The sequence below is a fragment of the Homo sapiens genome, chromosome 8 (genome assembly GCF_000001405.40).
Source record: "Homo sapiens chromosome 8, GRCh38.p14 Primary Assembly".
NCBI classification, from domain to species: domain Eukaryota; kingdom Metazoa; phylum Chordata; class Mammalia; order Primates; family Hominidae; genus Homo; species Homo sapiens.
In genome coordinates, this window is record NC_000008.11 from 126,443,653 (window position 1) to 126,459,151 (window position 15,499).

At 40.1% G+C, this 15,499-nt stretch overlaps 3 annotated features.

Moving 5' to 3' along the window:
• Positions 4,898–5,707: an enhancer, noted in NCBI's record as "OCT4-NANOG-H3K27ac-H3K4me1 hESC enhancer chr8:127460795-127461604 (GRCh37/hg19 assembly coordinates)". NCBI's record gives its function as "activates a minimal SCP1, AML or CMV promoter by ChIP-STARR-seq in naive H9 embryonic stem cells {active_cell/tissue: H9 hESC(naive)}" and the evidence as "EXISTENCE:reporter gene assay evidence [ECO:0000049][PMID:30033119]".
• Positions 5,708–6,517: an enhancer, noted in NCBI's record as "OCT4-NANOG-H3K27ac-H3K4me1 hESC enhancer chr8:127461605-127462414 (GRCh37/hg19 assembly coordinates)". NCBI's record gives its function as "activates a minimal SCP1, AML or CMV promoter by ChIP-STARR-seq in naive H9 embryonic stem cells {active_cell/tissue: H9 hESC(naive)}" and the evidence as "EXISTENCE:reporter gene assay evidence [ECO:0000049][PMID:30033119]".
• Positions 6,518–7,327: an enhancer, noted in NCBI's record as "H3K27ac-H3K4me1 hESC enhancer chr8:127462415-127463224 (GRCh37/hg19 assembly coordinates)". NCBI's record gives its function as "activates a minimal SCP1, AML or CMV promoter by ChIP-STARR-seq in naive H9 embryonic stem cells {active_cell/tissue: H9 hESC(naive)}" and the evidence as "EXISTENCE:reporter gene assay evidence [ECO:0000049][PMID:30033119]".

Here is a 15,499-nt window from a genome sequence, read left to right on the forward strand (position 1 = left end):
TGGCGAGACGGGGTTTCTCCATGTTGCCCAGGCTAGACTCAAGCCATCTGCCTGCCTTGGCCTCCCAAAGTGCTGGGATTACACGTGTGAGCCACTGCTCCTGGCCCTCACGAAATAGTTTTTATGATTTAAAAAAAAAAAAAAAAAAGCTTTCAGCAAACTAGGAATAGAAGATAAATTCCTTGATTTCATAAAGGACATCTGAGAAAAACCTACAGTCAATATATGAAATGGTGAATGACTGAGTGATTTTCCCCTCAGATCAAGAAGAAGGGTAGGATGTCAGCTATTATATTTGAATATATCATTATACTAGAATTCCTAGCCAATAAAATATAGCAAGAAAAAGAAATAAAAAGCACACATAGTAGAAAGAAAGAAGTAAAAATCTCTTTATTTAAAGATAATCCTACAATTGCCTGTGTAAAAAAATTCTAAAGAAGCCTCAAAAACTTACTAGAACTAAGAAAAAAATGAGTTTAGAAAGGTCATAGGATACAAATACACAAAAGCCAATGACTTTCTTATGTACTCACAATGAACAATTGGACAATAAAATTTTTTTTTGTTTTTTGTTTTTTGTTTTTTTTTAGATGGAGTTTTGCTCTTGTTGCCCAGGCAGGAGTGCAGTGGCGCAATCTCGTCTTACTGCAACCTCCACCTCCCAGGTTCAGGTGATTCTCCTGCCTCAGCCTCCTTCTGGAGTAGCTGGGATTACAGGCATGTGCCAGCATCCCCAGCTAATTTTGTGTTTTTAGTGGAGACAGGGTTTCTCCATGTTGGTCAGGCTGGCCTTGAACTCCCGACCTCAGGTGATCTGCCCACCTCAGCTTCCCAAAGTGCAGGGATTACAGGCATGAGCCACTGCACCCGGCCTAAAAGTGGTTTTATTATTAAACTAAACTTAAGTTAAATTTTAAAAATCAAAATCAGAAGAAAATAATATCATTTAAACAAATACACTCTACGGCCCTAGTCATCAAAACAATGTGACATTGGCATAATGATAGAAATATAAATCAATGGAACAGAATAGAAAGTCCAGAAACAGATGGTAAATACAATATATTGTCAATTAATTTTTGACAAAAAATGCTAAGGAAATTAATGGAGGAAGGGCATTCTTTTCAATAAATGGTGCTGGAACAATTGGACATACATCCATGTGCTAAAATTGAATCTCTACTGCTATTTCATACCATATACAAATGTCAATGATAGATGGACAAATGCAAAACTTAAACTATAAAACTTCTAGATAAAAACCTAGGAGAGGCCAGGTGTGGTGGTTCATGCATGTAATCCTAACACTTTGGGAGGTGAAGGCAGGCAGATTACCTGAGGTCAGGAGTTTGAGATCAGCCTGGCCAACGTGGTGAAATGCCTTGAGACTCTGTCTCAAAAAAAAAGAAAGAAAAAAACTAGGAGAAAAATTTGTAAGATCTGTCTAAGCAAAGACTTCTTAATTAAGACACGTGAACCATAAAATAAAATTGATAGATTGAACTTAATCAAAATTTTTAAATTTCTGCTCTCTGAAAGATACTCTTAAAAGCATAAAAAGAAAAGCCACAAATTAGGTGACATATTTAGAAAATACATTTCTACTAAATAACGTGCATCCAGAATATATAAAGAACCATTATAACTTAACAACATAACAATCCTATTTTTAAAATGAGTGAAAGATTTGCATAGTCACTTCACCAAAGCTGAAATACAGAAGGTAAATAAATACATGAAAAGACACTCAATATGTTTATTCATTGGGGAATGCAAATTAATATGCCATGAGTTATTAGTACACATTTACCAGAATTGCTGAAATTAAAACAAAACAGAAAACACACAGTGCTGGTGAAGATGCAGAGCAACTGGAACTCTCATATATTGCCAGTAAGAATGCAAAATCATGCAGTCATTTAAGATAAGTTAGGCAGTTTCTTGTAGTTAAACATATGCTTGCCACAGGACCCAGGGATGGCACTTTTAGGTTGCAGCACTCCTGAAGGTAAGCCACTCAGATCTCTGTTGCAGGAACATAAATGACTTATAGTCCAGTGGCTGCTTCTCTAAACCCAATAAATAAATACAGTCACACCAATGGCACATTTCCTGTGGTCTGCTCCCAGCTCCTGCTCAGAACCCAGTGAACATATTAATCAAGCCCATTCCTGTAAGACAAAGCACTCCCCCAAATCTAAGTTTAGCTCAAAGACTCCCCATAGCCCTAGCCGAAGCTAGAGTAGAACGGCACCGATCTACATTTTTTTTTCCTGTTCAGTTTGTCTTCCCTCTTCTTATCCTTCACAGGGATCAGATTTGCATCATGAACGGAAACCTCTCCCTGCCTTCTCACTGTTCCCTCCACTTTTTATTTCATGAGCATTTCCCTAAATCTCTTGAATGTCTAACCCAGTCTTCGCTTCTACTTCTCAGAAAACTCAAAAACTATTTCATAAGCACTTACCCTCAAAATGTAAACTTGTCTACACAAAGCCCTGCATGCAAAAGTTAATGGAAGCTTTAAACATAATATCAAAACACTGGAAACAACCTGAATGTCCATGAGTTGGTAACTGTATAAACAAATTGGGGATCCATATTATGGAATACTACTCAGCAATGAAAAGAAACAAATGACTGATACCTGAAATAAAAAGGAATGACTCCCAAAAGCATCGGGAGATTCGTTTATATGATTCCATGTATTATTCCATTTATATGACACTCTGGTAAAGGAAAGCTATAGGTACAGAAATAAGGTCAATGATTGTCAGGGACTGAGAATAGGGACAATGTTGATTATAAAGGATCAGGAGAGATCTTTGTGGGGTGGGTGGAAATAATCCGTAACTTGATTGTGGTGTTAGTTACATGAATGTATATATTTTTTTTTGAAAGTCTTCAAACTTTATACCTAAAACAAGGGTGAATTTTATGATATATAAATTATACCTCAATAAAGTTGAATTTTAAAAAAGGAAAAAAGTAACTCTTTGGGAACAAAAAATCCAGGCAGAGTCCAAAATAGCAAAAATTAGTATAGAGCATAGTCCGATAACATCTAAAGAGCATTTTCAGACAATAAAGTCTAGACAGAGTGGTGAGTCTCACATTAGTTTGGGTACAGGCCCTACACAGAAGCATGAGTTCATCAAAGGCCACCTCATGGGCCTCTGTGTGCCTCGTGGGCCTGCCTTCAATTCTACCACCGTATTGGTTCTAGAAGAACACAAAATAAATCTGATTTCTGGTAGTTGTTGTTGTTATGGAGAAATATTTATCTTCCTCCTCCAGGGTGACTGCAAGAAATGCATGTATATGTAAAATGAGTCTTTTTTCACAGAATAAATGGAGCACCTTAATGTCCTCAAATAGCCTTTTTCCTTTGGAAATAATGTACTATTTCCCACATGGAAAGAGACATTTTAGTATAACAACAGAAGCATGAAAAGGAATTGAAATAAATTTCTTTTCTGAAAATAAAATAATACACAAACTTAAAGAATGTTGCTTCTGCTTCTCTTTCACCTCCAGGTCCCAAAATTTTATGAAAACTATGTCTCTTGTAGATCCCATTGTCATCATTTTAATCTGATTCCACTGTGCAATTGTTATGGATTGAATTGTGTGTCCTCCCCCAAATTCATATATTGAAGTCCCAACACCCAGTGCCTCAGAATGTGACTCAATTTGGAGATAGAGTTTTTAAAGGGTGTATTAGTGTAGTGTGCATTGCTATAAAGGAATACCTGAGGCTAGGTGATTTATTAAAAAAAGAGGTTTATTTGGCTCACAGTTCTGCAGCAATACAAGCATAGCAGCAGGGTCTGTGAGCTTCTGGTAAGGCCTTGGGAAACATTTACTCACTGGCAGAAGGCAAAGCGGGGAGTAGGCAAATCATATGGCAAGAGAGAAAGCAAGAGAAAGGAGAGGGAGACATCTAACTCCTAAATAACCATCTCTCACATGAACGAATAAAGCTAGAACTCACTAATCACTGCAGGGTGAGCACCAAGCCATTCATAAGGGATCCATCCCCATGACCCAAACACTCTCCATCAGGCCCCACCTCCAACACTGGGGGTCACATTTCAACATGAGATTTGGAAAGGACAAACATCCAAACTATATCAAAGTAATTAAGGTTAAATGCAGTCACTAGGGTAGTCCCTAGTCCAATATGACTAGGATCCTAATTAGAAGAGGAGATTAGGACACAGACATACACAGAGGGAAGACATGTCAAGAGAAGATGGCCAAGGGAGAGACCCTCCGAAAAAAACCAGCTCTGCAGACACCTTGACCTTGGTCCAGAATCATAAGGAAACAACTTTCTGTTGTTTAAGGCACCTAGTCTGTGGCATTTCATTATGGAAGCCCTAGCAGACTAATACAGTGACTTTTCCTGGAGTGTCACTCCAGGGAAATACAAGCAGAACTCTGGATTAGGAATCTATAATTTCTGTAAAGAAATTAGACATTTCTTTACAGAAAGAAATGTATAATTTTTTACCTTTTTTTACTTACTTTTTTTACAGAAAGTAAGAAATACAAGCAGAACTCTGGATTAGGAATCTATAATTTCTGGTTTGCTGGGGCCAGGCCAAGGCAAGAAACTCCAAATGTGCTTGTCCCAAAATGAGCCAGATACAACTCAGCCAAGCAGGACACCAATCTCAGGCTTCAAATCTATTTCAACAGCGCAAGTGCAGTTGTAGTGTGAGCCTTTCTGTGTGCCTTCTGGGTGGCATTTGTGCCTTGTAGGTGCCCATATTTGAAAATGAACAAAAACAGGTATTTCATTAGATATGTTTTTCAGCCTGAACAAATTCTATTCCTGAATCCAAAGCAGGCTTTGCTTCTTTGCTTATTTATTGCTACTCCAAGTGCTATAGGAAGCTAGCCTGCACAACAGAGTAATTTTAAGAAAGCATATATATATATATATATATATATATATATATATATATATATATATCAACAATAATTTAAGAATCCAAGACAGAAAGAGGAAGAGAAGGACAAGTGAGAATATTTATGTGCAATGCACACAGATTGAGTATGTTCTGTGTACCAGCCGTTGGGAATGCTACGAGACAGGCAAGAATCTGTCCCATCAAGGAGCACTCAGCATGGCGCTCCTGCATTCCCTAGGATGTCTCCTATGCAGCATAGTGGTTCACAGCAGGACTTTACAACCACAATGGCCTGGGTTTGCATTCTAGCTTTATCATGTATTACTCCTCTTTGTTTGTCAGTTTTTAATCTCTCTGGAGTCTGTTTTCTTACCTGTAAGATGGTAGTTTTATAATTGTTTAGAACGCATTTATTAATTATCATCATTCATGTTCAGAACAAACTGTTATCATTTGTGTAAGTTTTGGGCATGCCAAAGCACTTTCACGTACATTATTTTTAGTCCTAAAATGTCTCTGTGAAGTCAAGGGAGAGAATTATTACATCTGTTTCATTCATAAGGAAACTGAGTTTAAAGAAGTTAAATAACTTGACCGTGGTCACACGAAGAGAGTCTTAGACTCAATTCTGTCTCCTCTAACTCACAATTCCGAGCTCTTTCTCATCAGCACACTGCCTTCTCCCTCACTCAACATGATCTGGAGAACTTCTGATTGCTCTGGGCAAAGATTTATTTCAAAAATCATCTTCCCTCCTGCAAGTTAACATCAACGACCCATAAACCAGGCAGACTTCAACTATGCCAGACACATGCAAGTCTGCTAAATGCCTTTGCTAAGATGACTGATATAAGCAATGATGATCTTCACAAGAAATGCAAACACATCCCCTGGGGCTCCCTGCCTGGAATCCAGGTCACTTTAAGAACTCATTTAAATACAACTATGCTTTGAAAGGTAACTACTATTGGCATGCACAGAAGCACACTGTCAGAAAGCCGACCACTCCTTAAGCATTGGCTGCTGAAGGCAAGGGCCACTAACTGGCCTGTTTTTCATCACAGAATTCTCCCAGCATGGGATCTGAGTCATCTTAGGGTTGAGGGCCATTTGCCTGGGGTGTGCTCTCTGATGCAGAATTGTCTGGGCCTGGGCCTTGGGCTGTAGACAAGTGTTGCTCAGACTTTTTAAAAGGTAATCCTCAGTAAAAGAAAATAAAAAGCTATTTACATCATGATCCAGTTACAGGTGTATTTGAAAACAGTGGGTAGAGAAATCAGTTTAGTGGGAACAACCAGCAGTCTTAAGAATCGACTGGAATGGGGATAGGGTACGGTGGCTCATGCCTGTAATCCCAGCACTTTGGGAGGCCGAGGTGGGTGGATCATTTGAGGTCAGGAGTTTGAGAATGGCCTGAAACCCGGTCTTTGCTAAAACTACAAAAAAATCAGCTGGGCATGGTGGCCCATGCCTATAATATCAGCTACTCGGGAGGCTGAGGCACAAGAATCGCTTGATCCTGGGAGGCAGAGGTCACAGTGAGCTGAGATTGCGCCACTGCACTCCAACCTGGATGACAGAGCAAGACACGGTCTCAAAAAAAAAAAAAAAAAAAAAGAAAAAGAAAATAGAATAGAATAGAGAATAGAATATACAGTACATTCGATGTAGTAAGGATTAAGTATCTATCAATCACCTATCACCCTATTTATGAACTGGACACCATGTTCAATGTGTTTCTCACTGTGATGATAGTCGAAAAACTTTGAAAGACCCCTATTTAAAAGAAAGCCTGTGGAAGAGATTTGGAGTTGTTGGGGATTTGAAGAAAAAGCCAGAATAAGGTTTGGGAAGATGAGGGCATTCTGTGGCCTCCAGCTACCAACTGGGTTCTTTCAATGGCTCTTCAGCCACACCCTAAGGCCGCCCTCTTCCTTGCTTGGCACTCACTGCCATGTGACTTCTCCAGCCTGCTCATTGAAGCCTTCTTCCCTGCTGTCTTCTCCAGCCTCATGGCTCCCCGCTCCTATCCCATCTCATCCCAGGATTCAGTAACACCAAACTGTTTGCAATTTGAAGAACATTCCAAGCTCTCTCATCTTTACAGGCTTCTGCTGATGTGCTTTCTCTACCTAGAATTCCTGTTCTCATTGTGTCTTTGCCTGGGTGACTCCCATTCATACCTCCAATTATTCAGTTAAATTGCCACATTCTCCAGGAAGCTTTCATGTGTCACTCAGTGTTCATCCATTCATTTACTTGTTCATTCATTCAGCATTTAACAAATATTCACAAAACAGAGACCTTGGTACTTGAGATATCATGGTCAACAGGATAGAAGATTCTGCCCTCCTGCTCATCTAATGGGCAGACAGATAAATAAACAACCAAATATATAATATAATATCACTGAAAAAAAAATAAAGCACAGTAAGGGAAAGATCAGATAGCAAAGAAAGGCTTCACTCAAGGGGGAATTTTGAGCAGAAAACTGAATTAAGGTTGGGCATGGTGGCTCACACCTAGTTCCTCTCATGTTAAAGTAATCCCAGTACTTTGGGAGGCTGATGCGGGCAGATCACTTGAGGTCAGGAGTTCGAGATCAGCCTGGCCAACATCATGAAACCCTGTCTCTACTAAAAATACAAATATTAAGCAGGTGTGGTGGCAGGTGCCTGTAATCCCAGTACTCACAGGGCTAAGGCAGGAGAACCACTGGAACCTGGGAGGCAGAGGCTGCAGTGAGCCCAGATCACACCACTGCACTCCAGCCTGGGTGACAGAGCAAGGCTCCATCTCGAGAAAAAGCAAAACCAAAAGCAAAAAAAAAACCTAAATTAAGCTTCAGAGCAAGCCATGACTATGTTTGAGGAAGTGTTTCAGACTTAGGGAATGCAGGTACAAAGGCCTAGAAGCAGGAACAGGGTTGACATTCCCAAGTTTCATTTGTTATTCTTCCTACAGGTTCCTGAGCACCCTCTGTATACCTTTATTACACTACATTGTATTTTTTTCTTTGTTTCTTTTTCTACTTAAGTATGAGCTTTTTGGTAGCATCTAGTAACTAACCAAATGTAGTTCCCTCTACATAATCTAAGTGTGTGAAGAAAGAAATAAATCAATGATTAAGAAAGTAATTGTCCAAATTAATAAATGAAGGAAGTAATTTCCTTCCGTTTTTGGAAGAAAGACACAGAGAGAGGCCTAGCTGTCTGTGGACATGTTCGAGCAACAGGAAGACTTTGAGCAACAAACACTAGAGGGAAACTCTGGAAAGAAAAAAAAGAAACACACTTTCCCTAAAACTAACGCAGTTGGTATAAGTAAAACCAAAAGAAGAGATGAGCAGATTGGTTAATTCTATGAAAAATATATGCCCCTGTAGGCTGATCCATCCAAACTCATTAGTTTGAAAAGTAAGTTGCCTTTCAAAATATACTTGTATTAAATCAGTATTTAGAAATTCTCTTGGTTCCTCAAATAGTCTTGTGGAGAGATATTATGCCCATAAACATGTTTTCAACTGTCTAGGAAATGAGTCCTAGCATATTAGCATTAGAAGGAGAAATAAACTGCTCCAAAATTCTCATCTTATGATATAGATAGAGAGGCAGAGCAGTTGCTTGCCCAGGATGTGCCCAGGCCTGTTTCCTCTCATGTCAAGGTCTTTGCAACCCATATTACTGCCTTTAGTTTGCTCATTGAATAGGATTTCTCATCTTCAATTTTGTGAGAGAACATTTTTTCCAATTATAGGATTGGGATTTATGAAGACAGTTGAAAAGTGTTGGATTCTATTGGCCTTCTCCCAGACTCCAAGATGTGGGAGGAAATTCTAACACAATCACATCAAATTAAGCGTCAGATGAAAAGAGCTCGCAGGAATCTTAACTCCAAAGACCCATTTCTTTTTTTTGTTTGTTTGAGACTCGAGTCTCGCTCTGTCACCCAGGCCGGAGTGCAGTGGCGCGATCTCGGCTCACTGCAAGCTCCGCCTCCTGGATTCACGCCATTCTCCTGCCTCAGCACCCCCGACTAGCTGGGACAACAGGCGCCCGCCACCACGCCCGGCTAATTTTTTTTGTATCTTTAGTAGAGACGGGGTTTGCACCGTGTTAGCCAGGATGGTCTCGATCTTCTGACCTCGTGATCCACCCGCCTCAGCCTCCCAAAGTGCTTGGATTACAGGCGTGAGCCACCGCACCCGGCCTCCAAAGACCCTTTTCTATCTTGCTCTGTTTCTCTTTGAATTCCTGCACTTCAAATAAATCTTATTGGGAACTGATTTCAGAAATATCCGTTTTTCTCAGCACAGTTTATATTGGGAGATGGGAGTTCCCTCCCAGATCATGACAAAGCCTTAAAATGTGCTCAGGGAGGGTAATATGGCTTAAAAAGCTCTTAGCCTTTTACAATTCTTAACCAGTATTAAAGAGATAGAGTATTGTATGTTTTTATTCATTTAATATTGTATAATAATTTTAGCTTTTTGTTTCAAAGATAATACAGAGAGTTCCCTTATACCCTTCGCCCAGTTTCCCCTGTTGTTTACATCTTACATTACCATGGTATACTTGTCACAGCTAAACAACCAAGATTGCTAATTATTATTTATTAAACTCCATACTTTATTTGGATTTCACTAATTTTCCTCCAGTGTCCTTTTATGTTGTTGTTCTTCTAGGATCACATGCAGACAACTACATTGCATTTAGCCATCAGGTCTCCTTAGCCTCCTCTAGGCTGTGACAATTTCCTAAAGCTTTGTTTTTGATGACCTTGATAATTTTGAGGGCTACTGGTCAGAGTTCATATACTGTCTTTCAATTAGGGTTTGTCTCATATCTTTCTCACAGCTAGACTGGAGTTATTCATTGTTTTGGGAGAAGACCACAGAGTTGAAGTGCCATTATCATCACATCATATGAAGGGTACAACATGGCCAGGCATGGTGGCTCATGCCTGTAATCCTAGCGCTTTGGGAGGCGGAGATGGGCGGATCACCTGAGGTCAGGAGTTCGAGACCAGGCCGGCCAACATGGCAAAACCCCATCTCTACTAAAAATAAAAAAATCAGCTGGGTGTGGTGGCGTGTGCCTGTAATCCCAGCTACTCAGGAGGCTGAGGCAGGAGAATCACTTGAACTCAGGAGGTGAAGGCTGAAGTGAGTTGAGAGTGCATCACTGCATTCCAGCCTAAGCGACAGAGTAAGACTGCATCTCAAAAAAAAAAAAAAAAAATGGGTACAACATGCCTTGTCACTCATGATGTTAACTTTGATCACCTGGTTGAGACAGTGTTTGCCAGGTTTCTCCAGTGGTAAGGTAGTTCTTTTTCCCTTCCTATGCTCAATTCTTTGGAAGTGAGTCACTAAGTAACTAAATAAAGCCTGCACTCAAGCGATGGGGTATGCATATGTGTGTATACATGTGTATATACATACATATATATATATACACACACACACCTGCATGCATGTATATATTTGTATATATATGTGTGTATGTGTATATACATACATGCATGCATGTATATATTTGTGTATATATATACACATTTGTGCGTACACACGTGTGTGTGTACACACAAATATATACATGCATGCATGTATATATATATACACATACACAAACACACAATCCCTGAGTATGAACTGTGCTTAGTGACTCACTTCCAAAGAATTGAGTATGATTATATATGAGTCAGTGACCTGAAACTGAACTTAAGAGAACTGGACTAAGTCAGAATTGACACATTTTTTAACCATGTCACTTCATTTGCCAATACTCATCACACTATACTTTTCAGGAGTACAAAGGACATGCAGATTGCAAAATATAACACATTTTTCTTCCCTTTATTTTTTTTCATGCTGCCGTGACTTGCCTCATCTCCACTCATCCGTCAATCCATCAAAATTGTTTTTCTTTCTTTAATAAAGATGGCATCTTGCTATGTTGCCCAGAGCTGGTTTTGAACTCCTGGGCTTAAGCACTCCTCCCACCTTAGCCTCCCAAAGTGCTGGGATTACAGGCGTAAGCTACCATGCCCAGCCAGTATTCAGTTCTGACTACTTCTCCTGAGACCCTTGTTACTTATTTAGGCAGGGTAGAGTATTCTTAATCTTGGCTCAACGGCATCCAGTTCATACCATTTGCATGCTGTTTCATATGTGTTTATTGTCTACCACACCTTTCTGGTTTGTGAGTTTCTTTTTTTTGTTTATTTTTTGTTTTGTTTTTGTTTTTGTGAGACAGAGTCTCACTCTGTCACCCAGGCTGGAGTGCAGTTGCGTGATCTCCACTCACTGCAACCTCCATCTCCTGTGTTCAAGCGATTCTCTTGCCTTAGCCTCCCGAGTAACTGGGATTACAGGCGTGCACCAATAGGCCCAGCTAATTTTCGTATTTTTAGTAGAGATGGGGTTTCTCCATGTTGGCCACATTGGTTTGCAACTCCTGACCTCAAGTGATCCTGCTGCCTCGGCCTCCCAAAGTGCTAGGATTACAGGTGTGAGCCACCACACCTGGCTAACTTCTTTAAGAAGATGACTATATATTATATATTTTTATCCCTAGGATCTAGAACACAGAAGAAAATTAATAAATGCTCATTGAATAGATGATTGAATGAATTTGTGCCTCATGACACTCAAAAAGATCTTATCTTCATTTTAAAAATGGAGAGACTGAGGTTTGAAGGTATTTGATAACTTTTCTAAAGCCACACAGCTAGAAACAACAAGAGAGCCAGGACTCAGTCCTGGGTTTCCTGACTATGTCCCTCATGTCAATTTAGGTGCTGATATTCTAGGAATCTGAAACCACAAGAGTCCATCTGCTAACTACTGATGTGTGAAAATCCCTTAGTAATTACACCTTCTTAGGTATCATGCTGTGTTACTTCTTTCCCTTGGGTCATTTGCTCCCATTTGTGTGTCAACACCCTGTGTTCTGATTTAATAATGTACTTGGTATTGAAACTTAATTATGAGTCAAAATTCATCAGGTACAGTGGCTCACACCTGTCATCCTAGCACTTTGGGCGGCCGAGGTGGGTGGATCACTTGAGGCCAGGAGTTCAAGACCAACGTGGCCAACATGGTGAAACCCCATCTCTACTAAAAATACAAAAATTAACTGGGCGTGGTGGTGCACACCTGTAATCCCAGCTACTCAGGAGGCTGAGGCACAAGAATCACTTGAACCTGGGAGGCAGAGTTTGCAGTGAGCTGAGATTGCACCACTGCACTCCAACCTGGGCATCAGAGCAAGAGTCTGTGTCAGAAAAAAAAAAAAAGTAAATAAAAAATAAAAAGGATTCAAAAGTATAAACTATGATACAGGGTCTCAAGGGACTCCAAAGGCTTGCCTCTTTAAAGGAAAGTTTGCTTTAGAGTGTTCTTGATGTTGGGAGACAAAACGTGATCATCTACATTCTTTGCACTCTCTGCTCCTAATTTTAGAGAAGCAATTGTTAGTTCTAAATTGGATGTAACCGAGGGTCCTAGTTCATAAGAATTATCAAATTTTGGGCTCTTCCCTTGTTTTATAGAGGATGACACAGAACTTCAGGAAGGTTAATCACCACTGATGGTCACCCATCCCAATGGGGATGAGTGCCATGTCCTGAATCTCCTCTCAGCATCCTCCAACTGTCTCTCAGCCTCTACTAGAGTTGGCTGAATTCCAGAATACTATGTAAGTATATGAATTTGTCAAGGGATATAATGAAATCTTGGAGTTCCTAAAAAAAGAATGAAGGAAATATGGACCATAAATATAGCTCTTCTCTCATCTCTTCTTTGTCCTCATTTTGCTTCTTACTTTTCCTCCTCTTCCTTCTACTTGAGCAAGTGGGTTACAGTAAGAAAGAAAGATGTGGGCAGAGTTCCAGACCAATTATAACATCTAAACTTCACCCATAGCTAAAGAAACATATGCCGGATTTTCTAGACCAGTTCTAATTTCAGGGATTCTGTTCATTCTCCCTTAAGAAATTTTTACAATGCTAAATTCAAAATGGGAACCTCACCACTGAAGGAAAAAGTAGATAGTACTTCTGGCTATGCCAGAAAAGGTTCAGCTAAATGGCAACGTAGCTGGAGTTTTCCTTCTTGGAATTCTGTATTTTTTGTTTCGTTTTGTTTTCTCATTCATAGTCCCAGGCAATCAATCTCACTGTTAACACTCCATGTCCAACAGTAGTCATAAAACTACTACACTCCCACACTCTGCTTTCTTTTGTGTGTGTGTGGTTAAACTCCAAGCTAAGAATGGTTTTTGCATCTTTAAATGGTTGAAGATAAATAAAAAGAATGATGGTATTTTTGTGACATGTGAAAACTATAATATATATGAAATTCAAATTTCAGTGTTTATAAATAAAAGTTTGGATTTTGTTCAAAAATTGGTAGAAATTGGTTTTCTCTTTTTTTATGTAAGAACCTATATTGTATCCTCAATTTTGTATTTTGGTCCACAAAGCCTAAAATATTTACTGTCTGGCTTTTTACATGAAAAGGTTACCTCCCCTGTTACAGAGACAGATTTTAATGTCGTGGTTCAAAGCTCAGATCTTAGAATTGAGCAGTCTTGGGTGGGAAGCCCAGTGGTAGTACTTAGTAAATGGGTGTCTTTGAACAAGTTTCATACCCCTCACAAGTTTGCTTATCTAAGTGGGGAAATAGTGCACCTGCTTTGTGAGAACATTATGAGGATTAAATGGTATAACTCATGTCAGGCCTTACATGTCCCTGACACATAGTAAACAGTAAGTGTGAGCTATTATCCGTGCCTGCATTAGCACTCCTGTGATCTCTGTCATTATTAATAGAGCTTTTTTTTTTTTTTTTGAGACAGGGTCTCACTCTGTTGCCCAGGCTGGAGTGCAGTGGCACAATGATGGCTCACTGCAGCCTTGATCCTCCCGCTTTAGCTTCCCCAGTAGCTGGGACTACAGGCATATACAACCATGCCTGGTTAATGTTTTAATTTTTTGTAAAGACAGGGTCTCCCTATGTTGCCTTGGCTGGTCTTAAACTCCTGGGCTCAAGCAATCCTCTCAGTCTCAGCCTCCCAAAGTGCTGGGTTTAAAAGCATGAGCCAGCCAGGCACAGTGGCTCACGCCTGTAATCCCAACCCTTTGAGATGCCAATGTGGGTGGATCACCTGAGGTCAGGAGTTCAAGACCAGCCTGACGAACATGGTGAAACTCCATCTCTACTAAAAATACAAAAATTAGCTATGCCTGGTGTCGAGAACGTGTAATCCCAGCTACTCAGGAGGGTGAAACAGGAGAATCACTTGAACCCGGGAGGTGGAAGTTGCAGTGAGCCAAGATCATGCCCATTGCACTCCAGCCTGGGTGACAAGAGTGAAACTCCATCAAAAAAAAAAAAAAAGGGGGGGGGGTTGGAGGGATTACTGGCAAGATGGTCAAATAGAAACAGCCTCAGTCTGCAGCTCCCAGCAAGATAGATGCAGAAGGCTGGTGATTTCTGCATTTCCAACTGAGCCTCTGCTGGTGATACCCAGGCAAACAGGGTTGGGAGTGGACCTCCAGCAAACTCCAGCAGACCAGCAGCAGAGGGGCCTGACTGTCAGAAGGAAAACTAACAAACAGAAAGGAATAGCACATCCCCTAAAAGACCCCATCTGAAGGTCACCAACATCAAAGACCAAAGGTAGATAAATCCACAAAGATGGGGAGAAACCAGCGCAAAAAGGCTGAAAATTCCAAAAACCAGAATGCCTCTTCTCCTCCAAAGGATCACAACACCTCGCCAGCAAGGGAACAAAACTGAACGGAGAATGAGTTTGACAAATTGACAGAAGTAGTCTTCAGAAGGTGGGTAATAACAAACTCCTCTGAGCTAAAGCAGCATGTTCTAACCCAAAGCAAGGAAGCTAAGAACCTTGAAAAAAGTTAGATGAATTGCTAACTAGAATAACCAGTGTAGAGAAGAACATAAATGACCTGATGGAGCTGAAAAACACAGCACGAGAACTTCATGAAGCTTACACAAGTTTCAACAGCCAAATCGATCAAGTGGAAAAAAGTATATCAGTGATTGAAGATCAACTTAATGAAATAAAGAGACAAGACAAGATTAGAAAAAAAAAAAATAAAAAGGAATAAACAAAGCCTCCAAGAAATATGGAACTATGTGAAAAGACCAAATCTACGTTGGATTTGTGTACCTGAAAGTGACAGGGAGAATGGAACCAAGTTGGAAAACACTCTTCAGGATATTATCCAGGAGAACTTCCCCAACCTAGCAAGACAGGCCAATATTCAAATTCGGGAAATACAAAGAACACCACAAAGATACTTCTCGAGAAGAGCAACCCGAAGACACATAATAGTCAGATTCACCAAGGTTGAAATGAAGGAAAAAAATGTTAAGGGCAGCCAGAGAGAAAGGTCAGGTTACCCACAAAGGGAAGCCCATCAGACTAACAGCAAACCTCTCTGCAGAAACCCTATAAGCCAGAAGAAAGTGGGGGCCAATATTCAACATTCTTAAAGAAAAGAATTTTCAACCCAGAATCTCATATCCAGCCAAACTAAGCTTC